This window comes from Homo sapiens, chromosome 1, assembly GCF_000001405.40.
Source record: "Homo sapiens chromosome 1, GRCh38.p14 Primary Assembly".
Taxonomy (NCBI): domain Eukaryota; kingdom Metazoa; phylum Chordata; class Mammalia; order Primates; family Hominidae; genus Homo; species Homo sapiens.
This window is the reverse complement of record NC_000001.11, coordinates 19,058,552-19,085,171: the sequence shown is the minus strand read 5'-3', so window position 1 is coordinate 19,085,171 and position 26,620 is coordinate 19,058,552. Positions and strand designations below refer to the sequence as shown.

At 54.4% G+C, this 26,620-nt stretch overlaps 1 protein-coding gene across 50 annotated transcripts in view, besides 4 other annotated features; it reads left to right on the top strand.

Annotated features, from left to right (window-relative positions):
* UBR4 (ubiquitin protein ligase E3 component n-recognin 4) overlaps window positions 1–10,662 on the top strand; it is a 135,757-nt gene extending 125,095 nt beyond the window's left edge. For all 50 annotated transcript variants that reach the window (XM_047416518.1, XM_047416514.1, XM_047416523.1 and 47 more), the window contains 5 exons: window positions 474–668; window positions 3,599–3,823; window positions 7,106–7,196; window positions 8,270–8,432; window positions 10,276–10,662. In XM_047416518.1, the coding sequence (XP_047272474.1) occupies window positions 474–668; window positions 3,599–3,823; window positions 7,106–7,196; window positions 8,270–8,432; window positions 10,276–10,340 (739 nt within the window). In that variant the 3' untranslated portion in view covers window positions 10,341–10,662. The remainder of the gene's footprint in view (window positions 1–473; window positions 669–3,598; window positions 3,824–7,105; window positions 7,197–8,269; window positions 8,433–10,275) is intronic.
* Window positions 2,878–4,077: an enhancer, noted in NCBI's record as "P300/CBP strongly-dependent group 1 enhancer chr1:19407589-19408788 (GRCh37/hg19 assembly coordinates)". NCBI's record gives its function as "activates an origin of replication core promoter dependent on BRD2, BRD4, P300/CBP, MED14 and CDK7 cofactors, with strong dependence on P300/CBP, by STARR-seq in HCT116 cells {active_cell/tissue: HCT116}" and the evidence as "EXISTENCE:reporter gene assay evidence [ECO:0000049][PMID:35650434]".
* Window positions 7,600–7,768: a silencer, noted in NCBI's record as "fragment chr1:19403898-19404066 (GRCh37/hg19 assembly coordinates)". NCBI's record gives its function as "represses an EF-1alpha promoter that drives an FKBP-Casp9 reporter gene in an ReSE screen in K562 erythroleukemia cells {active_cell/tissue: K562}" and the evidence as "EXISTENCE:reporter gene assay evidence [ECO:0000049][PMID:32094911]".
* Window positions 14,306–15,231: an enhancer, noted in NCBI's record as "H3K4me1 hESC enhancer chr1:19396435-19397360 (GRCh37/hg19 assembly coordinates)". NCBI's record gives its function as "activates a minimal SCP1, AML or CMV promoter by ChIP-STARR-seq in naive H9 embryonic stem cells {active_cell/tissue: H9 hESC(naive)}" and the evidence as "EXISTENCE:reporter gene assay evidence [ECO:0000049][PMID:30033119]".
* Window positions 16,443–16,737: a silencer, noted in NCBI's record as "tiled region #2200; K562 Repressive non-DNase unmatched - State 20:ReprD". NCBI's record gives its function as "represses a minimal TATA promoter and a strong SV40 promoter by Sharpr-MPRA in K562 cells {active_cell/tissue: K562}" and the evidence as "EXISTENCE:reporter gene assay evidence [ECO:0000049][PMID:27701403]".

Sequence of the window (26,620 nt, the reverse complement as noted above, 5' to 3'; positions counted from 1 at the left end):
AGTTAATAAGAGGCACAGCCCAGATAGATGGGAATGTGTATTGACATAGGAAAAACAAAAGCAAAAACAAAAAACCCTTTTATTTGGAGATTGAAGAGCTCATTCTTATGGACAGGTCACTTTGTCAGTCAGAATGGATGAGTTCTACATTGCTTCCTCCAAAATGTACTCCACATGCAGCCACGGTATGTCCTACAACATTAGTTCATTAAGAAATGGGCGCCCAAGAGTGGTGGGCTCTCATCAAAACTTGGCGAGTGTCACGTTCAGTCACTGCAGAAATGAAAACGTCCTATGGCCTTGTCGTCCTGCTGGCCCCAGCCTTGGCCTCAACTTTCCCTTGTATTCTTGTCTCCGTTTGCAAACCTTTGCAGCCATCAGGCCTGGGAGTACTGGAAGGAGGCTCTGTCTCCCAAACTGGGTTTTCACCAGGAACTCACTTCCATTTCATTGTTTGTTCTGCTTCCCTCTAGACACAACACTTACCTCCAGGAATGTACAGGCCAGCGGGAGCCCACGTATCAGCTCAACATCCATGACATCAAACTGCTCTTCCTGCGCTTCGCCATGGAGCAGTCGTTCAGCGCAGACACTGGCGGGGGCGGCCGGGAGAGCAACATCCACCTGATCCCGTACATCATTCACACTGTGCTTTACGTCCTGAACACGTCAGTACCCTGTGTCCCAGGGGCGGCATCTCGCAGACCCACCCTGCATCCCTCTGCCCGAGATCCCCTCAGCTTTTTCATAGCCTCTCATGCTAGTTCCGGAGCAAGCGTCTGGCCTAAGGCAGCCTTTTTGCCGAGGTGGGGATGCTCATCTGCATTCTTTTAGGGCCATGCAGAAAAAGCAATAAAGGGAACTTCCTTCCCCCAAACTGCCCTGTCTCCCACCATGGGCAGCCCAAGACCGCATCCTTGGACTGACGTTCAGCTCACAGGGGAGCAGGAAGTGGGAAAAGTCAGGCCACTGAAGCCTCTACTTCGATGCAGCGGCTACTTCTACTTTCCAGACTGTTCTCTTGAATGGGGGGAGGCCACAGGTCGGAGCTGTGCCCACATCATTAGTCAAGGGCATATAGATTGTTACAGGTGATGGTTTCCCATCAAGGGGATGCAGCAGAGCTGAGGACCCAGTTCATAAATGGAAAACTGGATTTGTTATCCCTGTTTTCTCTACAGTGGGTAATGCTTCTGGCAAGTGTGAAGGGAAAGGGAATGTTCAAGATTATCTGGGAAAGTCAACCGACAAGGAAGGCAGCCAGGAAAAAAAAGAGATTGGTAGTTTTATCCATATGCACATTATGGGACAGTTAGGTTGGTACCTGGAAGTGTAATTTTAAAGAAGCACTTAGGCCAGGCACGGTGGCTCACGCCTGTCATCCCAGCACTTGGGAGGCCAAGGTAAGAGGATTGCTTGAGCCCAGCCTAAGCAACATAGCAAGACTCTGTCTTAATGAAAAAAACAATTGTTTTAAATTAGCCAGGCTCACACCTGTAGTCCCAGCTATTCGGGAGACTGAGGTGAGAGGATGGCTTGAGCCAAGGAGGTTGAGGCTGCAGTGAGTCGTGATCACACCACTGCACTCCAGCCTGTGTGACAGAGCAAGACCATGTCTCAAAGAAAAAAAAATTAGGAGATTGACTATCCTTTAGCTCTTCCATTTAATTCACTGTTTCATGCTTGTAGGCCCCATCTCCTAGCAAGAGGCTTACGGTTCCCTGTTGAAAGGTTGTGTACAGCTCACCCCGGGTAGCTGCAGCACAGTTTAGGCAACAGGACAATCTGTCTCTTGTCTTTTCTAGTTCTTTCTCTTCAACAATGTTATCTTTTCCTTCCCTCCCATTTCCTTGTGAGTTAAAAGGCTGACCTCGAGACCACAGGCTTCATTGTTAAAACACGCAGGGGCAGGTTGACATCAGAGTGCATTACATCATCTGCTGAACTGCTTAGACTGGCGGGAGCAGCACCTGGCAGCACTGATGGCGCAGACCTTCCCACTGTCCAAATTTCGCTCCTTCTCAGTGTTCCTGGGGCCCTGGACAGAGCCCTGGGTGACTAGGTGTCAGTATGTTTCTGAACAAGCCAGACATTTGTAATTGTCAGGTCCCTTCATTGGAAAGGGAATTGGCTGTCTCACAGTTTCTTTGGTCAGCCAGAGGCTGACCCAGAAGCTTCACAGAGAGGCCTTGCTTCTCGGCCCAGACTGCTTCCCAGTCGACAGCTATCCAATTGACATTGGTGGGAGCTTGGTCACAGTGGGGCTGAGTGCCTTTGGTGGAATATTTGTTTATGGAGGCAAGTATGTCACAGCATGGCCACCGTAAGCCAGACCAGAGCCTGAGCAGATCCTGCAGCAGCCAACAGCCTCAGATTCCCTACAGGGCTGGAAGATCAAGTTGAATGTATCCATCCATGCCCATCTGCAGGCAGCAGAAGCAGGCAGGGTGTCCTTGCACCCTCTCCTCCTGCTTTCCCAGAGTCCAGCATCTGTGCCAGTGCCACCTATAGACCTGGTAACTTTTTTTTCCCGGTTCTAGTGTTGTGTTTGTCCCCACCTCTCCCTACCAGTGCCCCATGGAGTTAGGATAGGGCATCAAGCATTCATGGCATGAGAGCACCATTCAGGATCTAAGGAGAGAGTGTACCCAGAAGCGTGTCATCAGGAAGGACTTAAGTCACCTCTCAGTGCTGATTCCGTGACCTTTTGTCAAAGCTTCAGCGTGGAGAAGGAGGTAGGGTTAAGATGGACAGGCTACCTGGCTTCAGAACACAGTTTTTTCCACGATGTGAGACTTGGGCAGAATCCTTACCTCCTCTGTACTGCAGTTTTCTGTTTCTTTAAAATTGGGATAGTGGTGGCACTATCCCATAGCATTCTTGTGAGTACTAAGTGAAATAATCCCGTAAAGCACTTAGAGCAGTGCCTGGCACTGAGTCTGGTGTGGTCATCATCATCATCATCATTGCAACTTAGGACGCATGAGGACAAGAAGCAGCGCTCATCTGGAAGAGGCTGTTCTAACGAAGGCGGGAGGATCCTAGATCAGAAGAAGACAAACCGGAAGAGGGAGCCTAGGAAAGGAACCACATGCACATTTAGTGCAAACCATGTAAACATAACATAACAAGACTATGTGGAGCAAGGGGGAGTCAGGCTGTGGACCCACCAGGGAATCTTGATTCATGTTTTTGGCCCCATCACTCACTAGCTTGCTGACTTTGGGCAAGTCACTTCACTTTTCTGGGCCTCTGGAGTTACTAGCACAGTTCCATGTTGGGGAGATTGTGAACGTCCCTGATATATGGTGCTCAGGAACCAGTAGTTGCTTGGAATTGTATTAGAGCTGGGGTAGGAGCTAGACATGGGGCCAGGGAAGAAGGGAAGATGCCGCGAAGAAGGGCCTGGAAGGGGACGAAGGGCGTGGATTATCAGAGGAAGTGGGAGTAGTCGGCAAGGATGGGTGGGGAGTGTTGAGTCATCCAAGCGTTCAGCAAATGTCACAAGACAACGACAAATTGAGCAAATTCTTCCTGCTCTTGCTGCCGGGTCCTGCTTCCACCCTGCTTTTATTTTATCATGCCGCTTTTCTTCTAGAACCCGAGCAACTTCCCGAGAAGAGAAGAACCTCCAAGGCTTTCTGGAACAGCCCAAGGAGAAGTGGGTGGAGAGTGCCTTTGAAGTGGACGGGCCCTACTATTTCACAGTCTTGGCCCTTCACATCCTGCCCCCTGAGCAGTGGAGAGCCACACGTGTGGAAATCTTGCGGAGGCTGTTGGTGACCTCGCAGGCTCGGGCAGTGGCTCCAGGTGGAGCCACCAGGTCAGTACCTGCTTCCGGAAGCTGCTGCTCACTATTTCCCATCATCAGTTTTGAAAAGCTGCTTAGTGGTACGCACGTGCTAGGTGAAGGCATGCTTTGTGACTGCGGTGGTTGACACCAGCCCTTCTCCCTTCTCAGTCTGTCATGTCAAGAGTCTAAGCTGATGGCTGGCAGGTTGCCTGGTCATTTCTGGGTTTTCTGTTCCGCTACTAGAAAGGTAGAGCCAGTCTTACCTACTGTAGAAAATGTTAGGAAGGCAGCCAGGCACAGGGTGATAAAACCAATGAGATGATCAGGGCTAAGAACAGTAATCAGGTTTTCCACATCTTGCTGGTGTTGGCATAAGCCAGGAAAGTTTCAGTGTGGCCACATGGGGTATTTTCTAATAATTAAAAACTCGTCTTCATTCTCTCTTCTTGGTTACATTCCTATCCCATGCGTCCCACATTCCATGAACCTTTCTTCCTCTAGACCACTCTCCTATACGTGTGGACACCTCCCCAAGAAAGAGCATGTCAGAAAGGAAGTGGTCTTTGATTTATGACCTTGGGCTGTGATTTGGGACAGATGGTCTCAAGAGAAACAGCTGGAAACTGCCACCACAGCATCTCTTTGAGGACCCCCATGGATTGCTGTGCGCAGAGGAGACCCCATGGGTACCACTCAGGCTGCCAATGGCCCCACACAGTCTCTACCTTTCCTGGGGAGCTACGGAGCAGGCTCTGGGTTTGGCATTTTGCTTCTGTCCCTCGAGTGAAATGTGCCTCTGCTTCATTTCTGGAAGATCGGGTTTGTGATTTTTGTGATTCTGCTTTAGCCCAGGATTCGAGGGATCATGTCCACATTTGTAGGCCATCCAGGGAGCAGAGAGAAACTTTTAGGGCCGTGATAAAGACAAGCCAAGTGGAAAATAGCCTGTGCCCTCATTGGCACACCTGGTGTCTTTATTTCCATTAGCCCTGATTGATCAAGCGTTGCTGGTCTGTGGGCACTTCACGCTCCCAGAGAGACCAGATTGGAGCTGTCCTGTTGAATCTGGCCTGTACCAGATCATCACTGGAGAGTGGGAGGGGGCGTCTTGTTAGATTCCTAGGTAACCCCTGCCCCCATTCCTAACATATCACTTTCCAGTATTTCCCAAGAGCCTGAATTAATAGTTAACTAGCTGCTGGAAATCAAAAGTTAGATCTTGAGAATACTAAGTTGATAAGTCAGGCTTGGCCAGTATCCATATGCTGCATCCACAGCAAATAGAGTGGCCATTTATTGGGCACAGTCTCTCCATGGCGGGTGTGCAATCTGAACCCACAGGAGCTGTTTTGCTCTCACTTAGGAGACTAGCATTCATTATTGTCCCAGGCAGTTCAGGAAAAGCTGATTTGGTCACAGCTTAATTAGGAAATCCAGTGTGAGCTACTACATTCATGAGTTGCTGTTTTCTCTGTAGCAGTTTCGTCACCTTTACTAATTGGCCTTAAATAATTAAGTTGGGCAGGGTCACTCAGGATTTCTGCTTACCAAAGCACAACAGCCACAGCAAAGGGCCAAATACGGCCGTGGTCCGGGGCCGTGAGCCCGGCACTCATCAGGCAGACTAGGAAAGGCACTGTGGGTTAGCCCGATACTGGGAGGAGACCCATGGGGGAGAGACCGCGGCTGGAAGGGCGTGTAGAGATATCATCCTGATGCTGGGGCAGCCTCACTGGCGGCAGGCTTTGTCCTAAGTCCTGTAAGTCATGGGGTAAGGGGTAGTAGCAGAGACACAGAAATGTAGCTCAGCAGAAGCTGGCCTCTTCTGCACACTTGACATTCAGAAAAAAAGTTCCTCTGCCAGGAACTTGCAAGTACAAAGCCTGGGACATTCTCAGGCGTCTGTCAGAACTTGATCTGTTATCTTGTCTGCCAGGGTAAAGAGCTGCAGAGAAATGGATTCTTGTCCTCATCCACGGGTCCACCTTCCAGGACTTTAGGCTGCAGCATCATCACACGTATGCGGGAGAGAAAGTGGGGGCTTGGGAAGGTACTGGGGCAGAGGGAGGCCACAGGAAGCATATTTCAGTAGAGAGGGAATTGTCCCCATTTAATATTATTTGTTTTTTGCGAGTTATTTATTGAATGCAGGTGTGGATAGCCTGTCTCATGCTAGGCAGCCCCTTCACTTGAGGCCCATATAGTTTTAGCTTCTATAATGAATACCATCTATGTTTCTTATTTTTATGATTCTTATATATACCCATGCATTTTAATACTAAACATTTTAATATATGTCCCTTTAGTCATGGGATGTGTTCCAGTGTGTTTTGAGGTGTAGAATACTCTGTGACAAGGGCTCACCTAGGCTTTACTTATTACAGATGTGATGGCTGTTGGCAAACAAAACCTCCGTAGAGCTTGGGTGGTAGAAACTGAATCCTGACACTGATATTTCACTGTCTGTGCCGAGGGGAGCCTGATATTTCTGTGTTTCATACTGGCTCTACCTGGTGTAATCATTCCTCAAACCTCAAACCAAGAATTCTGCTGAGAAGGCAGTGGACATTGTTAGAGGCAGTCTCCCCCTGCCTGTCGCTCCCCATATTCCAAGGAACTGGCTGGTCTTTAATCCTGAACTGAATCATTGGATTAAGTAGCAACGATACTGGTTAGAAACAATGGGGTGTGGTGAGCAACTTGGATTATCCCAGGATTTAGGTGATGTCAGGGTGGCTGCATGCTCCATCTTAGACATTACCATTGCTTGATACCAACTTCCTAGCAGCTTGCTGCCATTTAACACAGCACATGTTTGACAAGTTACCGTGTTTGACTGGTTTAGGTCTGCTGGCTTTTAAGAAATTTCTCCTAGTGGGAATGTAAAGACTGAATTAAAACCTTGTTTCCTACCTCATTTATTAGGTTCCATCAAATTCCAAGAGCTTGTCGGGGCCCAAACACAAGGGATACATAGGAATCCTTTGCCTTTCTTTAAGTCACTAGCCTTGCATTTGCCACGTCTGCCCTGGCGATGTCTCCCCCGGTTCCATTTTACCCTGATCTGGAAGATGAGCACTGAGAGAATCAGATGAATTTCATGGAGCATTTTTGTAACCAATAAACTTCTGGGTCCCAGGGCTCCAGAGGTTCTTGCCCACAGCTGCTTTTTTCCAAGCAGAAGGCTAGTCGCTGGAACTCCGAGATGCATACACCACTGTGACTCTTCCCTTGCTCCCAGCATGCCTTGCTCTGTCCTTGTGAGTATCCTCCTAGGGACTTCATGTGATGGAACTGGATTTTCTTTTCCAGGCTGACAGATAAGGCAGTGAAGGACTATTCCGCTTACCGTTCTTCCCTTCTCTTTTGGGCCCTCGTCGATCTCATTTACAACATGTTTAAGGTAAGGAGGCTGTCAGAGGCCCAGTGGGTTTTGGCAAGAGTGTAAAATGTCTGCACTCCTGTCCCTGACTCTGCCTCAGCACCCACATGGCTGCTCCTCCGCTGGGCCTGGGGGCGCTTTTTTCCTAGAAACAAACAACCCCAACTGTGGGAGGGATTGACACTGGCAGCCTGGAGCCTTGTGTCTGTGAGGTACATTTGTTTTGTTTGGTTTTGTTTGGTTTGGTTTGGTTTGGTTTTTTTGAGACGGAGTTTTGTTCTTGTTGCCCAGGCTGGAGTGCAATGGCGTGATCTCGGCTCACTGCAACCTCTGCATCCCGGGTTCAAGTGATTCTCCTGCCTCAGCCTCCCAAGTAGCTGGGATTACAGGCAGGCACCACCACGCCCGGCTAATTTTGTTTTTTTAGTAGAGATGAGGTTTAACCATGTTGGTCAGGCTGGTCTGAAACTCCTGACCTCAGGTGATCCGCCTGCCTTGGCCTCCCAAAGTGCTGCTATTACAGGCATGGGCCACTGTGCCTGGCCCACATTTGTAGCTGAGATCACTCCTGTCACCTGCTCCCGAGCCTGCTCCAGACTCGGCTGTGCAGGAAGACCTTCCCCGCCGGGTCTCTCTTTGCTGCTCTTGCCGTGCTATTGGGATAAGCTCTGTTGCCCTGAGTGAGTCTGACTTACCGCAGCCAGCTTATAACAGGACACTCCTCTCCGGAGAGAATCTGAGTTTTTGAGTTGGTTCCTTTCATCATCGGAATGAGACAGCTCATGGAAGCACATTGACAAGTCCCTTTGCTCTGGGGAATGCGAATGGGAAGTGTACGGGGAGGGAATGCAGCCACTTGTTGGAGCCTGTAGCTTCAGGTGACACAGTGCCTAATAAGGAGGGCCTAAGAGGAATGAAGTGAAATTGTGTCGTTCCTGGAGACAAAACGCACGCTCTAGGGTGCCTGTTGGTATGCTTTGGTGTAGGTTGGGAGGGCTGTCCTTTGAGGGGTTGAAATGGCCTGACTGACTTGAGGCGGAAGATGAGGCAGCAGTAAGTCACCCACCTCTCTTGTCTCCTGTTGATTCTCGTAGAAGGTGCCTACCAGTAACACAGAGGGAGGCTGGTCCTGCTCTCTCGCTGAGTACATCCGCCACAACGACATGCCCATCTACGAAGCTGCCGACAAAGCCCTGAAAACCTTCCAGGAGGAGTTCATGCCAGTGGAGACCTTCTCAGAGTTCCTCGATGTGGCCGGTTAGTGTCAAGGTTTTCTCTTTTAAAGATCCTCCGCAGCAAAGCCCCATGTCTTCCTCCGTGGGTCATCCGTAGCTTTATCTTCACGACCAGAGGAAACGCAGTATGAACCAGCCTGTCAGCTGCCACTGAAAGCCCTGGGAAAGATGCGTAAATAGCAAGTCACCGATAACGAGAACAGCAGCTCTAACATGTACTGAGCACCCCCTCTTTCCCCGACATGGGCTGTTCACTGTATGTGATCTCAGCCCTCGAGGCAGCCCTATATGAGGCAGGAGCTTTGGTTATCCCCATTTTATAGATGGGGTAAATGAGGCTCTGAAGATCAAATAAGTGGCCAAGGGAACATAGCTAGAAAGTGATAGCATCCCTGTTTGAGTCTGTTTTTTAATGGCAGTTCAGAGAATTAACATGCAAATTGGAATGCCCCTGTCTTCCTCCTGCGTCTTAGGTCACAGTTGACCCCAGGGAGGCATGGGCGACCCAGCAGGGCCGCTCTGAACTGTGGGTGTGGGAGACGTGGTCAGACAATTCCTTATCCTACTGCTAGTAAAATTGAAATTCTTTGTGTAACAAATTTGTCATTCTAATTGCAAACAAACACATTAGAATTGGTTTGTATTTCATAACCAAGCACCAAGTGACAGCAGGGGGAGGTGACTTGGCCCGTGCCTGGGAAATCCACCTAGGGTTAAAAGACAGTGCCCTGTGAGGTTGTGGGCGCCGCGGCATTACAGCCCCCATCAGAGCACCCGCCCTACAAAGGTCAGCTCCCCAGAGCCAACGCACAGGTAACCAAACCTGCCAGCTCTTTTTTATGATCTTGTTTCATTTTTTTATGGCATTCGTTGTGGGAATTTTGTAAAGTATAAAGAAGCAGGAAAACAAACTCCCCCCAGATCCCACTGTTAGGAGAACGCCTCTGCTAACATTTTCTCTATCTTGTTATCCTCTGGGAATGAGACCCACTAAAGGGCTAGAGTGTTGCTCAGTGTGAATTCCTCTTTCTTCCCAGCTCAGAGCCAGCTGACCGATTTTCCCAAACAGCTCTGTGCCTCCGCATTGGCTGCCCCTTGCAGTGTCCTCAGCGGAAGCTCTGTGCTGGGATGGTCTTCGTCGACCTGGTGCCTGCCTCCGCGTCTGGGCGGGCCTGTGCTAACACTGCTCACCTCTGTGTGTTTGTTAACTCCACCACCTCTTTACGGCTCCCACTGGCTCTGTTTCAGCCTAGATGTTTCACCAGCATCATACCTTAGCACATGCCTCGCGTTCTTCCCAGAAAGTCAGCCCTGGGACCAGGTGGGCTGGTAAAGTCCTCAGTGCTGGGCCCTGTGCCTGTTGCATGAGCCTGTGTCACTGTGACTGTGGAAGTTGGAGCTAGTGAGAGGAGGAGGAGGTGGGCAGAGGAAGGAGGGTCCCTTGGGCTCGAGCTCCACATCAGCCCTGAGCTGCTGGCAAGCACCCCTGGCCTGCAGCCAGGGAGAGCCAGAGCCTTTGCCAGGCAGCGAGCCTCCGTGCCTTCCACTCCTAGGTCAGGTTTTGACAGCACCACTTTATTACTTTGTTTAAGCTGTTAGAAAATTTCAGAACATCAGACACACCCTATTCAAATGTGAGAACAAAAACACCTTCCAGCAGTGCCTGCTTCTGGAACAGGACTCCTCCTGCGGAACAGGGTTTTGCTCAATGACTACCTCCCCGGTCATGCTGCTGTCCAGTGAGCAGCCGGGCCAGAGCTTGTCGGACCGCAGTGTGTTCTCTGCTAGATGCGGCAGCTGTGACTCAGGGGGAATGGGGGCTGTATGCCTGCTCCTGACACACCTCTGCCCGTTGTGCTTTGCAGGTCTTTTATCAGAAATCACCGATCCAGAGAGCTTCCTGAAGGACCTGTTGAACTCAGTCCCCTGACCACCACACAGCAGCTGCGGCGGCGAAGACGAAGCTGGCTTGCCTTCCACCCTCTGTTCTCCCTCCTTGTGCATTAAGTTCCCTCCGCGGGATGCTGCATTGTTACCCCGCCCTCCCCTCTCTCATTTTTCTTGGTGTGGCTTGGGGTTTTTAGGCTTCCTGTTTTATCTCGTGTGTGTGGTGCACCAGCTATGAGGTTGTCTGTAACCCAAGCCATCAAAGGGCCTGTACATACCTAGGAGCCATGAGTTGTCCCGGCCAGCTTCATACTTGAGTGTGCACATCTTGAGAAATAAACAAGTGACTTAACACACATTGAAAAGGAAGGTGTTGCCTGCTGCTTCAACTCGTCCTCAGTGGCGCAGGCCAAATGGTTTCCCTTGAATGCACAGCCATTTCCGGCGTCAGCCCGGGAAGACTCATGTCAGACCCGCTGTCTCCAGGCCTGTTGTCAGCGCTAAGTGCAACCTGTCTATTCTTGGCCAGCAAGTTGGGGCACCACATTGGATGGCTCTGATTTTTCCCAAAACAAAGCCCATGCCTTGCTCTTAATTTTTTGGCCTTAAGAGCTGGAACCCAAAGACACGTGGAGCCCAGAGCTTTCCTAGCCCTCGGCTGAAGGAAGGCTCGCGGAGTAGGGCACAGTCTTGTTGGACCACAGAGGCCTGGGGAGCATTTGACATTCTCATGCTGCTGTGAATCGGGAATCCCTTGGTGACTTCTCTCCAGGGTTGTCATGTTAAGAGAGGGCCTGGGGCAGACTTAGGATCAGGATAAAGAGAGTGGCTGCTATTGACATTGCCAAGCACCCAGTGTATCTTATTTCTAATCTCTTTGCCCATGAGCCAGAGCCGCTTGCCCAAGGGCTCCCAGCCAGGGGCTGTGGAGTTGTCAGGTTTGTGCCTCCGAAGCTGTGTCCTGACCACTGTGGCTGCCGCTCCTGGAGGCCTCAGACCTGCTCCCCTACACACGTGGGCAGCAGGACTCCCGAGGGCCTCTCCCCAGACTTCGGGAGAAGGCTCACCTCGTGGGAGGGAGGGCTCGCTCATGCCCATCTCCTTTCGTTCTTTGCGGGCCACTCGGCCAACTGACGTCGGCCTCTCCTGTCTGGATGTCCAGTTTCTGTGGCTCACTCCTCAAGCCAGATCATCTGGGACTGAGGGTGGCCTCTGGGCTCCTGTAGACTTCCACAGCCAGGATTTCACATCCCTCCCCAGAGCCTCGGACCGAACAGCCACAAGCAGCCATGAGTGTCGTGCCTGGACTAAGCTGGAGAGACAAAGGCGTTTGTGGCAAGGGCCCAGCTGGAAGCCCTGGCAGGCCAGAGCATGCATGTGCTGGCTTGCACGAGCATACTTTGGTGTTTGTGTTGGGGACACCGGGCTTCTGAGGGACTGGCGTGGCTCCAGGGTGGGGAGCAGCCTGGTTGAAGCGCGGCCAGGCACTCACTCTGTTGTTCAGATCCCAGCTCCACTGCCTGCTGTGTCCACAGTCTCCTCACCTGTCAAATGGGAATATCTATGTGGCGGGAGGGTGCTGAGGTTTCCACGAGCTAATCTGCCTGCTGTGTAGTAACTAGTAGCTTTTCTTACTGTTAGTGAACTTGTTTTAGTCTGAAGGAAGGCACCCATGCCCCAGGTGAAGTCCAGCTGAGTTCAGTGAGGACGATGGAGACCCTTGGTCTTGGCACCCTTCTGCCTTATACTGGGAATGCCTCAGGCTTGCTCCTGCTGTGTGTCTGTGGTTGCCCACTTTCTGCTGGTCTCCGAGAGACTGATTCAGGTGTTCAGGAGTCTGTTCGCTATTACATCACCTCCTTGTGAGAAATAAAGTGGAGCAGCCTCATCCAGACAGCAAAGCAAGGAGGGAGCGTGAGGAGCAGCCAGGTGAGCTGGTGGCATGGGGCCGCCTGTGCAGAGGCCGGCCTCGCTGCTTCATGTGGCTCAGGGAGGCTCAGCACGTCCGTCATCACACCTCAGGGCAGCGAGAGTGGACCTGGTGCCTTCAGAAGCCCACCCGAGGCCTGCTGCTCTGGCCTGCAAAGGTGGAGTCACCAAAGCTCATTACAAAGTGTTTGCTTATTTTTGTCTGCCCTGCATTTTTTTATTTCTTGCAAAGGCCTCAGAGGATGTGGGCCCCAGCCCAAACACATCTTGTTTTCACTAGTAGAGCTTTTCCTAGTGTCTGCACAGGGGTGCTTCCAGTGGCTCTGCCATAGCCCCAGACAAGCTGCTGACACGGCAGCCATGAGGTCTGGGACAGGTTCCAGGGGGTGCTTTTGGCCTGCTCCAGCAGGAGTGGAGGCTGGACTGGTCTCCAGCAGGAGTGGAGGCTGGACTGGTCTCCAGCAGGAGTGGAGGCTGGTCTGGGCTCCAGCAGGAGTGGAGGCTGGTCTGGGCTCCAGGAGTGGAGGCTGGTCTGGGCTCCAGCAGGAGTGGAGGCTGGTCTGGGGAGAGAGCTACACCTCCCCAGGCCCAGGTCTCACGAAAGGAGCATCGAAGGGCACCGAGGAAAAAGCCACTTAGCCCTCTCCTGTCCTGCACCATTATCTGGGCCCATTGGTTCTTGGGTCCCTGTCTTTCTCAACAGGCAGCCCCAGTTGGGGAATTAAGTTGATTCTGGACTGGCTATGCCTAATGATAGCTGCAATTTGAAACCCATAAAGTTCGAGTTCAGCAATAAAGTTGGGGAGGCAGTGTCAACACCTTCCTTGTAGAACGGCTGAAGCCTCTGGTGTTCCTCAGTCAGCAGCCGCCCTGGTTCCCAGCTGTCCAAGTTTGTTGCCCTTAGAGGTGAAAAGAGAGGCCCCCTGCCTGCACCTCCCCTCCCCAGGGGTGTTTGTTGGGACACCGGGGGCTGCGCTCGGTTCTCTGCATTTTACTCCTGCGTCAACCCTGTATGTTAGGTGGTGGAATTTCCGCCTTACCAATGGGGAGGCGGTAACCCAGAGGAGGTAACTCGCCTGCTAAGGAGTCAGGAGCTGAGGGGTCTGCGGGACTCCAAAGATTACTCTGGGTCATGCGACTTCATTTGTTCCTTCCAGGATGTAGCAAGTGTCTCCTCGGTGCCAGGGACTTACCAGAGGCCGGGGGCACAGCGTGCATCAAACAGGCTCTGTCCTCATGGAAAGGAGAGAATCAGAACTGAGGGGTTCCAGGGACATAAGGTGTGAGGTGGCAGTGTGAAGTGTAGACAGATCAATGTGGGGGACAGGCTGTAGTTGGCATGCTGCTTACGTGGGGTGGCCGGGTTGGTCAGCTCCCAGCTCCAAAGTGCCCATGGCCAGATTCTCATACCTGGTTGCAACAGGCATCCTCTTTGGTCACTTAGCAAACCTCAGCTGGGCACCTAGTCTGTGCTCCGCTGTCAGCATGGGGTCCCTGTAGGGGACTGGGAGGAGCCAGAAAAGAGACTCACTCTGCTCTCTAGGCTGCGGAATATAGCCCAGAGCTGGCCACTTCCCACCACCTTCGCACCCAGACCCAGCTCCTGGATCTCCCACTTCCTCCCACTCCGTAGTCCATTCTCCAAGCACCCAGAGCAGTCACTTAAAAACACGCTGCAGGCGGTTGCCTCTGAAACTCTTTTCACTTTCACATTTTGAAGGGCAGCTAAACTACCTCCCAGGCTCCCAGACCCTCTCCAGCCTCCCTCCTCCCCACTCCCTCTCATCCCCGCTCCACACACTTGCTCCCTGCTGTTCCCTCGCACAGGGCACATATCCACCGCCCAGGCTCTCACTTTGTCCCATTAGCCCAGATGTTTGCGTGGCTCATCTCCTCCCTCCACTCAGGTCTCAGAGATGCCCCTGAGCCCTGATCTGGGAGAGCAGTGCCCTCCGGGGCTCTCTCTGCCCCTGCCTGCCCTGTTTCGGTCCTTTCCTTCGGCCTCATGCAGCTGTGGTCAGCTCGCCTGTTCATCTCCCTCTGCTGCGTCCTGCTAGTAGCTTTCCTTTATTTGCTGCTGCATCTACAGTGCCTAGAACAGTGCTCAGTGCATAGAGGACGCTCGGGGAGTATTTGTTGGCTAAATGATGGGTCTATGTCAGCATCTCCCAGGGAACAGTCAGCCATCTCCACAACCCTATGCCTAACTCTGGGATGAAGGGCAATAAATCCAAACCTGATTCCAGTAAGAGGCTGGAGCAGGTGGGCCCATGAGGGCCCTTCCCCACCAACCCCTGCCCTTTGCTGTTCCTGCAGCAAGGCTGTGCTGAGACCCTGGAACATGCTGGAGGCAGAGCTGGCTCAGACGCAGGCTGGAGTGCCCAAGTCAGGGCTCCTGCCCGGCTCCTGCTCCGGGCCCTGCCCCTTCCTCCTCCTGTCATAGATCACCTCAGGGCAGGGCCATTCCTTTGCCTGGAGCTAGCTCTGGTCTCCGAGACCACAACAAGTCCTTTTCAAGCTGGAGCAGTTCCCAGCAGCACCAAGAGGATGGCAGAGAGGGACAAGGTAAATCCCCAGGCTGAGCTCCCTGGAGCTGGCTGCTGACGCTTACCTGGGGCGAGGCCTGGACGAATCCTCCGCCTTCTCTTGGTGCCCTTGGCCTTCTTTCTGACCCCATCCTGGCTGGTGGCTCAGATGCAATAGGGGGAGCAGAGTAGCCTCTGAACAGGAAGGGAGCCGAGAGCCAGCCTTTACTCAGGGCCCGCGGGAAGCTGGTGTTTCACCTGCAGCACGTCCTTCCATCCTTGCGGCCATCCCAAGTGGCAGGTGGTATTCCCTTCTCCACACAGGTAAACAGGTGCAGAGAGGCTAATGACCTACGCAGGCTCACACAGCGAAGTGTGGAGCCACGATGAGAACCCAGATGTGTTTGGCTCTGAAACCCCCTTTTCAGAGAGTGTTGCTGGCCTGGGGAGACTGGTTGCTGTTCATGCTGGGGTGCGGGGACCAGAAGGAGGAAGAGGGTGAAGGCTGACTTAGGGAGTGTGACCCAGTTTGCTCTCTCCTGTCCCCATGGCCAGCGGAGGCAGCCTCAGGGCCCTGTACCTGAGGATGCGGCTGAGAGGTACATGTCCTAGGACTAAACAGTTGCATTGCATGGGCTCTGAATTTGGGGTGCCACTTCCCATCAGAGGGCAAGGGCCGCATGGCATAGAGGCAAGACCGAGGGCTCCAGAGGGGGCCCAGCTCTGCTGTGGGACTTGAGCAAGTTTCCTAACCTCTCTGTGTGGGTGAAGATTCAAGGAACAAATACAGAAGGTCCTAGAACCTGGCACAGCCCCGGCACAGCTGGCCTTAGCTGTGACCGTCAGTGTTACTGTATCAGTGTGTCAAGGAATCACAGATGACTGGATGTGATGGCTCACGCTTGTAATCCCAGCACTTTGGGAGGCCGAGGCGGGTGGCTCACTTGAGGCCAGAAGTTTGAGACCAGCCTGGCCAACTTGACAAAACCCCATCTCTACTAAAAATACAAAAATTATCCGGGCATGGTGGTGGGTGCCTGTAATCCCAGCTACTTGGGAGGCTGAGGCAGGAGAATCGCTTGAACCCTGGGAGGCAGAGGTTGCAGTGAGCCGTGATCGCGCTACTGCACTCCAACCTGGGTGATAGAGCAAGATTCCATCTCAAAACAACAGCAGCAACAACAACAAAAACCAGGAATCACAGAATGTCTGGGGGAGGATCTCTTAGGCTCCACAGCACCCCTCTCCTTATCTTACGGGTGTCAGGACAGATACCCAACCTGACATGCACACACACATGTACACGCCTTCCAGGCACTCACGAGTTCAGTTGCTTTGGTGACATCTGTTTGCTTTCCATGCTTTATTTCTGTCTCTCTGCTCTGTGTTTCCTGCCCTGGGGGGGCTACTCCCTTCCTCCCCATCCTTATCTGTTGCTCAGTCTTGGAGCTTGGCCTGGTACCCATGAGTTGCCAACCTGCCCCCTTTGGCCTCCTTAACAGGCCTGGAGAAGCTGAGCAAGGCATGTGCAGAGGCAGAACCGTTTCTGCTGCCGCCTGGCCGGGTCAGAGGGACCCTGCCCTCCAGAGCATCAGGGCCCCAGCCTGGGATGGGAGGGCTACCGGCTGCCATCCGCCCTGGGAGCTGCCCCTGGCCAAGGGTGCCGGGGTCGGCACCCACTGCGTTTCACTCTGTGCCCCTTTGCCCTGACTTCAGAGCTTGAAGGTGAACTCTGACCCCTTCACTCTAGGGTTGGGGACAGTGGGCATGGAGAGCAGGAGCGGAGTTGCCTGAGGCCCCCAACTTGCAGTCCATCACTTTCCCACATCGCACACAGGCCAACAGGGTCCCGGGCACGTGGGGCCTGGCAGCACTCCAGGTGGGCACCCAGCAGTGTGATGACTTCCTGGAGGAAAGAGTGGGGTGGGAGGTGCCTGGCTTGAAGTGTGGGGGGAGCTGGTGCTCTGTTTTAGGGGTCAAAGTGACGATGGAGTATGAAGACAAGTATCCCGCCAGCTCACCTCCTCTGGCTACTCCTGGCTCTGAGTCGGTGCCGATCTCCGGCCACTGCCACAAGCCCCAGTGACCTTCAGCATCTGCAGCAGGTTGCGGGCTTCCTCCTGAGGGGTGTGGGGTGCCAGCCTCTGGCAGCCTCTCGGGACATTGCCAGAGGTTGGGCAGGCCTCTCAGGAAAAGGGAGATGAGCTTCTGGGGCGCTGGGGTGAGGAAGCTGTGGTGGGAGGTATCTAAGGTCACCACCTCTGACGGTGGTGGGACCCACAGTGGGTATGGGGCAGCAGGATCTGTGCTTTGCTGAGTTTCTGAGTCAGGGGGCTGGGACAGGACCAGAATTAGCCCCAGGTGCCAAGTTTACAGGGGGAAGTCATCCAGAGCCCCGAACTCTCACGCAGGATGGGAGGTGGGGGTGTTCTGGGCATGGGCAGGAGTGAAGGGCACAGGGTCTCAGGCTCATTGTTCTTTGGACTCTGTTCCTTAGATCCCTCTGCTGCCTTTGGCCAATGACCTTGACACCCCATCCACCCCTTCTGTCCACAAGCCAGCTTGGTCCCGACAAGGAGTCCTGGCTGGACCCCTTGTTAGGCTGTTCCCGGCTTCAGAGATCTGGGAACTGTACCAGAGTTGTATTTACTGAGCACCCACTCCAGCAGGATCACCATGCCTCACGTGATCTCCAGTCCTTTTACTGTTGTTCTTCCTGTTTTACAGATGAGGAACCTTAGGCTCAGAGAGGCAAACTCACCTACCCAAGGCTGCACAGCACGTAAGTGAGATGCAGCCTCCCTGTCCAGCCAGCCTGAGCCCTGCTTCTTCACCTGGCCCTGCTCCCCATCTGGTCTGGGCACGGATTGGGTTAGATCATCCCAGCTCCCAGCAGGAGGGCACAGCTCTGGGATCCAGGGTTTGGCCAGGTGCCCAGCAGGCAGGCAGGGCAGCCACAGCCAAGGGTTAACTGGCCGCAGGCTGGGAGCCGTGCTCGGGGCTGGGCGGACAAGGTGCAAGGCCCTGGGAACCAGCTCCAGGCCGGGCTGACAGGGAGCTCCGCAGGCACCCCCATCAGCCCTCGTGCCAGAACAAACAGGGCAATTAGGAGGTGGCTTTTGTTTGGTGGGGCCTGAATGCTGGGCATGGAGCTGCTGGCGCTTCAGCCCCTACCCCCTCATGTGGCGGGAATCTGCTCGTTCACGGGACAGGGTCACATGCGGAGTGTCACAGCAGACAAAAGGACAATGCCACTCTGTTTCCTCGCCCAGTTTCAGAAGTGATGGCTGGAGGGCTGCTGCTTTTCACAGCACAGTGTGAATGGGGCCACCAGTCCCTCCCTCCCTTCCTGTCCCGGCAGCCAAAAGGGCTCCAGTCACCTCAAGAGCCATCGATCACAGGGGTGGCCCAGGCCATGGGACGCGGGCCCAGCACCTTCCCATTTCCCTCGCTCTGGGTTCTGCCTTGGGGCCCCACTTGGAACCCACTGTGCAGGGCTGGATTCCATACCCGACGGTCGTGTCCCGAGTCACCTCTCTGAGGCAGGCACTGTTAATCCCATTCCAATGAGGGAATCGGGGCTCGAGGATGAGGTTGCTTCACCCAAAGGAGGGGCTTGGGTTAGGGCTGCTGGGTGAAATTCAAGGTGCCAAGTTAAATCTGAATCTCACATAAACACCAAATACATGTAAACCTCTGACGGTGGCGGGACCCACAACGGGTATCGGGCAGTGGGATCTGTGCTTTGCTAGGTTCCTGAGCCCAGTGGGCTGGGACAGGACCAGAATTAGATCCAGGTGCCAAGTTTACAGGGGGCTCAGCCAGCGCCCTGAACTATTACAGTCTTTAGTATGGAGTATACTAAAAAAACATGACTCACCATTTCTCTGAAATACAAACTTCCCTGGACAGCCTGTATTTTTATTGACTAAATCTGGCAGTCCTGGCACAGGTGCTCACAGGACGTGCTGAGTTAAGCCAGCTCAGGCCCTGACCTCAGGGAGCCCCCTCTGCTTCAGAGAGACAAGTCCCAGACACAGGTTCCCACATGGAGGCCGTCGGAGCAGCAGGTGCCCTTGCCTGGAAGCCAGGACAGGCCTGGAGTGTCAGGAACAGGGACGTCGAGGGGCTGGTGAAGGGGCCAATCTGAGCGCCACGAGGGCCCTGAAGTGCTGTGAGCAGGGGAGGCAGGTTCCAGAAGCCTCAGGACCCCGCCTTTCTGCAGCGTTTCCTCTCCACAGGACTGTGCTGAGTCCTGGGGAGGGGGTGGGGGCTGCTCCAGGCGGCTCCCCAGCCCCTCCCTGCCTCGTCTCTCTGAGGCCGCTCCCTCCTCTGCCCCACCACACCTGCCAGCTCTGCATGGGGCCCCGAAGCCAGGGCTGGGTGGAAAGTGGTTGAGGTTGGAGTCTGGGGCCAGATTGGGTTCAGGGCTGGCTGGGCAACAGCCCTTCACCTGGCCAGGCCTTCGGTTTCATGTGTAAAGCAAACATGCCTCATTGGATTCACCAAGAGCCTGGCACAGAGGCGGCGCTGGAAGTGCGTCATTGGAGTTATGAAGGACCTACTCCCAGGAAGGGTCTTCACAGAAGCGGTTTCCGTTCCGTCTAAGGAAAACACAGCTGACAGCAGGGCTCCCACAGTGACAAGAGCTGTTTGGAGGTAGTGAGTCCCCTGTCATTGGAGGTATCCAAGCAGAGGCCAGTCTACTGGCCGTGCCTCAGATGTGTCACTTGGGAGGTGACAATGTCAACGGTCATTTCCAACTCTATGGGCTGGGTGGCAGGTGGAAAGTTCAAGGGCTTTGGTGTCAGACAGTCCTGGGTTCTAATTCTGGCTATGCGACCTTGGACAAGCTGCTTCCCCAGCAACCTCAGTTTTGCCCCTTGTAAAAGGCAGTCAGCAGCCTTGCCTCACAGGATAGATGTGACATGTTTGTTTGCAAAGTGCCCAGCTCTGAGCAGATGCCAAGGAGTTGTGGGTTCTAAGACACATCTCCCTGATGTGGGAACAGAGGCTTCTGAGAAGCCTTCCAGGGCCCGGCTGGGAACCACCCCGTCCTCCTCCCGGTTACCCTGGCTGGCACCCCAGCCGCAGGGTTGGACTGCGGTAAGAATGGCAGACAGGTTTCTCAGAATCCAAACGGACCCTGGGGACAGCGGTGGCTCAGAGGGGAGAGCCCTCTGCCTCCCTGGGGCCTGACGTTCCAGGGTTGGGATGGTGGGGCCCGGAGCCTGGACTGCGCTTGCCTACCTGCCAGGGAAGGCAAGGCAGCCTTGAACCAGAGGGGCGGGCAGGGATGGGCCCAGGCTGGGCTTCCTTCCCTGCCATGTCGTGCTGCTCTGAGCACCACACAGGGTGGCGTCCGGCCTGGGAGAGCCATCAGCACAAGACGGCTGGCATGCCCATGGCTGTTTTCATTCCATTAACTCCTGAAGGGTGGCGGACCCTCAGGGGTCAGATCCAACCAACCTCAGACAGGGAAACTGAGGCCCAGGAGGGGCAGGGCCTTGCACAAGATCATGGTATCAGGCACTACCAGGCCCACAGCCTCATCAAGAAGCGGGCGTAGGTGCTGTTCAGACCAGGGCTGGGCCGCCAGGTGCTTCCCACACCGCAATTACCTGCCAAGGTGTGCCTCGCTCCGTGGGAAGTGCTTACGGGGAGTTTCATCCTATAACCACCCCGTGAGGCCGGCACTATTACTTGCATCTTCCAGACAAGGAAACTGAGGCCACTCCGTCCAAAGTGACAAACAGGGATTTAAGTCCAAATCCAAGACCATCCCCTTTGCCACCTCATCTTGGTCCGCAGTCCAGCTGGACATTACCTGGGAAATATACAGACTTGACTGGCCAGGACTGTGGGGACAGACACAAAGAACTTATTGTCCCAGAGGCTGACCTGGCTGAAAATGGCAGATCAATTCCAGCAGAGCTTACCAAACTGGGGTGGCAAATCCTGCCTGCTTTTGGACAGCCAGCAAGGAAGAATGGTTTTCACATTTGTAAAGGGCTGGAAGAATATGCGACAGATACCAGAGGTGGCCCTCAAAGCCCAAGACATTTCCTGCTTGGCCCTTTCTAGGAAAAGTTGCTAAGCCCTGGCTGAGAAAAAGGCTGGCCCAGGGATCTCTGGAGGATTACAGGAGAGAGACACAGGCCTGGGAACCACCGCGCCTGCCCCAGCGCCCATCCTCCAGGCCACCTGCCCATCTCTCTGCCAATGCTAGGGAGGGAGGCAGCTTAGGTGGGAGGACACTGGCCTTGGGAGTCAGACAGACTGAGTTCCAGGTGGAACTCTGCCTCTTGCTGACTGTGTGGCCTTGGGCACTTGAATTCACCTCTCTGAACCTCACTTTCTTCATCTGTAAAATGGAGATGTTAATACCTACCTCGAAGGGTTGGCCAGGTGCGGTGGCTCACGCCTGTAATCCCAGCACTTTGGGAGGTCAAGGTGGGCAGATCACTTGAGGTCAGGAGTTCAAGACCAGCCTGGCCAACATGGCAAAACCCTGTCTCTACTAAAAATATAAAAATTACCCAGGTGTAGTGGTGCGCGCCTATAATCCCAGCTACTTGGGAGGCTGAGGCAGGAGAATTGCTTGAACCCAGGAGGCGGAGGTTGCAGTGAGCTAAGATGGTACCACTGCACTCCAGCCTGGGCGACAGAGCAAGACTCCATCTCAAACAAACAAACAAACAAAAAACAAAACAAAAAAGAGTTGTTGTAAGAATAGAGATGATTACCGGTAACAGCAGCAGCCGGGGAGCTGGCGGGGCTACTCTGAGAGCTTCGCGTTTGACCTCCTGGGCTTCATAGCCACCTTAGGAGCCCACTCTCCAGGTGAGGAAACTGAGCTTTGGAGAGCTCTAAGGACTTGGTGGCTGACTGCCAAGCTTACCCACTGCACCCTCACTGAGACAGCGTCCAGGCTCTGTCCCAGGGAACAAGAGGACATTGGTGTCACCGCCGGAGGGTGGGGCGCTGAGAGGCGTGTGGTAGCAAGTGGCAGAAGACCCAATGCAAAGCGGCCTGGACAGTGAGGGGAACTTACTGTGGTCTTGGGCACGTGTCAGCAAGTCTAGGGGCAGGTTGGCCCCAGGAGTCTGACCCGGCAGCTCAGGCCTGCAGGGACCCGGGCCTTTGAGGAGTCTGTGGGCTCTGTCCCCAGGCCGGTGTCCTTCAGAGTCCCTAGCAGGTCCAGAGGAAGCAGGGTTTGCTGGTCCCTGAGTCCTCTTCTCAGGACAGCTCTCCTGGAAGCCCCTGTGAGCGTCCCCTCACCCCACGTCCTGGGGTTGGGCAGGGCAGGGCAGGTCCCTGAAGCCCCTGGGAATGCCTGTGGCTGTGCAGCGATGCCAGTGACTGTCCACCCCGGCTACCCAGCATCCCTCCCTCCCTTCCTTCTTGTTAAAAGAACTGGTCAACACAGGCTGCCACACTCTAGACACAGAACATGGCTGTGCCCACAGCCACCACCATGCCACCTGCCCCTACCTAGATCCTGCTTCTTTGCATCACTGGCTCTGGGGTCAAATCTGCACAAGTGCATCTGATTGGCTGAGCTAGGTCCCATGACCATGCAGCTGCAAGAGAGGCTGGGAAAGCACTAGAGGATCCTGTGGGCGTGGCCTCCTGCAAGTTGCAGGTGGGTGGGTCCCAGACCAGGAGGTGGTTTCAGAGGCTGGGTTGCCAGCCCAGCTTATCCAGGCACGAGCTTGAAAAACAGAGATGGGATTTTACAGGGGAGCTTTGGTGTCAGACTGGCTCTGCCATCTGCCATGCTGTGTACCCTGGGCAAATTGCTCAGCCTCTCTGGGCCTCAGTTTCTTCATCCCTACAGAGGGAGTACTACTACCTATGGGAGGACTGACTGAGATTATGGCTGCTAAGCACTTAACACAACGCCTGGACAAGCCAGCAGGACCTGTCATTAACCACCACACGACCGTTATTGTGAGCCACCCACAGCACCTGGCACAGGGCGCGACCAGCAGACATCCACTGAACCTGTTCCCAGTCCTGCAGCACGAGACTCAAAGCCAGGTGTCCCTGGATGAAGGGATTTTAAGGGAAGGAGAAATCACATCTGGTTGGAGGATGGTGTCCAGGCATCAGGAAGGACTTCCTGTAGGAGGTGGTGTTCAAGACAGGGGTTCCTAAGTAGAGAAAGCTGAATCTCAGAGGGGTCGAGGAGGGCTGTTGTGGAGGGTTCTGGAGGGAGGCCAGCCCCTGAGGGCCTAGGTGTGTCTTGCAGCCAGTGTAGGCTACCAGGTGAATTTCTTGGGTAAGGCCTGGTGCCAGGTGTTTTGGTGGTGGGAGCTGGGAGGGGCTGCAGATGCAGGGTGTGGCTGGGAGAGGCTGGGAGGCAGGAAGAGGGAGACAGCAGAACAAGGGAAGGCTTGAGGAGGTGGCCTGGCTGCAGTGGACGGCTGCCCTGGCTCCCTGCATGACCTCGCCCCTCTCCAGGCCCTGCCTATCTCTAACACAAGGGGATTGGAAGAGACCAGCCCTTCCCCTGGTGCTCCTGGGAGCCCTTGGAGGCCTCCCCTTCCTTCTCCAAGAGAGCCACCTGGAGGGCTGGGCAATGATGCAGATTCTTGGCCTTCCCCAGCCCTGCCCCCTGAGAGAACTGCCCCCAGCACTAGTGATCATTAGCCCCTTCTGTTCGTATTTTGGATTAAACCAACTCAACCCACACTTGCTGAGCACCTACTGGGTGCCAAGTGCTGGGATGGACAAGGGCCATTCCTGCCCGTGACAGGGTGAGTGGGTCTCAGAGCACCTGACCCCTGCTCTAAGTGGGGCCAGCACAGGTAGTGTGTCAGTTTCTTTCCCCAGGGACTCTTCCCTGCTTTTCAGATGATGATGATGATGATGATGATGATGATGATGATGATGATGGTAATGATGATAATATGATAGTGGTGGTGGAGATGATGGTGGTTCTAGTTGTGGTGATGATTGTGGTAGTGGTGATGTTGGTGGTGGTGATGATGGTGGTGGTGGTGGTGATGGTGGTGGTGGTGATGGTGATGGTGGGGATGATGGTGGTGGTGGTGATGATGATGATGGTGGTGATGATGATGGTGGTGGTGGTGGTGGTGGTGGCGATGATGTTGATAGGGGTTTTAAGCCCTCACTATGCCAGGCTCACTTTCTGTGCTTCAACTTATTTGACTTCTCTATTCTTACAGTAGCTCTTCAAAGTAGATGTATCATTCCCACTTTACGGATGAGGAAGCTGAGACTCAGAGACGGTAAGTATTTTCCCTGAGTTCACAAGCAGGGAAGTAGTAGAGCAGCAATATCAGATAAATGTAATTCAGATATTTATCTGATGCCAGAGATTTATCTCATTGCAGAGCCTGAAGTCTTGGGCCCCTTTTTTGAAGGGTTCATTCCACAACAAGGTAAGAGCCCAGAAGCCCTGCCTCTGAGCCTGACTCCCTGCCCTGTTCTGGCCCGGAGATCCCCAGCCTCTTTCCTGCTCCTAGCATCCCCCAAAGGTGCTGAGCCACCTGTCCTGCCCAGCTCAGCAGTGAGGCTGTACAGGTAGGACTTTGTCTTGGAGGGGGGCTGCCCAGGATGGACAAGTCCCTGCTACCAGAGACAGGAGCAAGTGGCTCTCCTTCAGCCAACAACCCACCCAAAGGCTAGGGCATGGCGCCTGCTACCCAGGAATCTGTGTTGGAGTAGAAGGTGGGGGGCATGGTGGCCCAGGGATCTGTGATGTACTGGGAGGTGGGGGGCATGGTGGTCCTGGGATCTGTGATGGAGTTGGGGGTGGAGATGGTGATCCAGGAATCTGTGGTGGAGTGGGGGGTGGGGGGGATGGTGGTCCAGGGATCTGTGGTGGAGTGGGGGGTGGGGGAATGGTGGTCCTGGGATCTGTGGTGGAGTAGGGTGTGGGGGGGATGGTGGTCCTGGGATCTGTGGTGGAGCGGCGGGTGGGGAATATGGTGGTCCAGGGATCTGTGGTGGAATGGGGGTGGGGGGCATAGTGGTCCTGGGATCCGTGGTGGAGTGGGGGTTGGGGATATGGTGGTCCTGGGATCTGTGGTGGAGTAGGGGGTGGCGGGGATGGTGGTCCCAGGGATCTGTGGTGGAGAGGGAGGTGGGGGAATGGTGGTCCAGGGATCTGTGGTGGAGTGGGGGTGGGGAATATGGTGATCCAGGGATCTGTGGTGGAATGGGGGTGGGGGATATGGTGGTCCTGGGATCCGTGGTGGAGTGGGGGTTGGGGACATGGTGGTCTAGGGACTATGGTGGAGTTGGGGTGGGGGCATGGTGGTCCTGGGATCTGTGGTGGAGTGGGGGTGGGGGCATGGTTGTCCCAGTCCTGAGCCAGCTGAGTTTGTCTGGAGCCTGGGTGAGTTCTGGGCTTAGTGTTGAAGGCCACCCGTGCAGCCAAAGGCTTTGACAAATGTCAGTGACACAGAAATGTGACCACATTAGTCAGATGTCACTCTCCCCTGAATAAGCTCGCCTGGATCTTGTGAGGAATGAGAAAGCAGGAGCCCATCCTCGGTGCCCCCAGCCTGATAGAGGAGCCCCCAATGTGATGGAGGAGATGGGACCCTGATGTTAAAACTTTCCCAAACCCCAAACCATAGCGATCTGCTCAATATATACACACAGGTCACTGAGGTGCGCTGTGGCAGGTGAGGTGAGTGCCCCGCAGCCCAGCAAAGCTCCTCCTTGGGAGTTGCAAGCTGCTGTGAGATGGGAGGTGCAGGGGTCCTGCTTTGGGGTGCAGCCCTGGCTCCCATGGTTCTCCTGGGTGTCCAGCCATGACCCCCCAGTAGCCAGCTTCGGAGTGGGTTTGGGAGCTGCTGCCGTGACTCTGGTCAATGTCAGAGTCTTTCCTTGTCAGCCCCCAGGGGTGGAAGTGGAAACCCTGCATTAACCTGCCACCTACACTCGCCTCTCCTTCAAGGCCTGGCTCAGACTCATCCCAGAGCCCTGTCCCCGTCCTCCAGCCTGGCTCAACCACACTCCCCTCCACACTTCCTCCTCCCACCATGAAGCCCCACCCCCTTCCTCCTCCCACCCCCCCCTTGAACCCTGGGCTCCAGCTCCCTCTTTCCAGAGCCCTCTAGCTTCCCACGTGTTCTGCCTGCTCTTCTGTGGCTTCATGGCGCAGCCTATTCCCCCATTTTATAGATGAGCAAACAGGGTTGGGGTCATAAAGGGACCTTGCAGGGCAGGGCACAATGAGTGGTTTCCAGAGAAACACTGATGTCCTTTTTCCTTCACACACGGCATTTAGTTGTCTTTTCATTCTCTTTTATTCGAAAAGAGCTCCCCCTGCTATTCCCCCCGGCTTTTCCCCATAGCAATGAGCCGGTTCCTCTACCTGGGGGTTTTCTGTAAACTGGAAGTCAGGTCCTACTGCTTGGCTGGGGTCGTGTTAAAATGTTGGCCAGCCTGGACGATGCTGTGTGGTTTGTTTGGCACATGTCCCGCCAGGCTGCCCACGCTGGGTGATGCCAAGTTTGATCACTTGGTTGAGGGGTGGGCATCAGGTTGACTGGTGGCTTCTTGGATCCCTCATTTCTTCGTTCATCTGATGTCTCCTGAGCAGCTTCTCTGTGCCAGGCACGGGGATGTGGACATGAATTAGACATGTCCCCCTTGGGGTCTGCCCTGGAGGACACAGCACAGTCAGCCCAGCGAGGAGCAGACAAGAGCTGTCGCTTGTGCTGGAGGACGGAGGGGACAGGACGGAGCCAATGCAGGAGAGAGGGAGGGACCAGGGAGGCTTCTGGGGCTGAGTCCCAAACACCTAGCAGGAGGTGGACAGGGCTTAGACAGGCAGAGGTGGGTGTTAGGCTCGGGAAGGACGTTCCAGGCAGGATGGCCAGGGAAA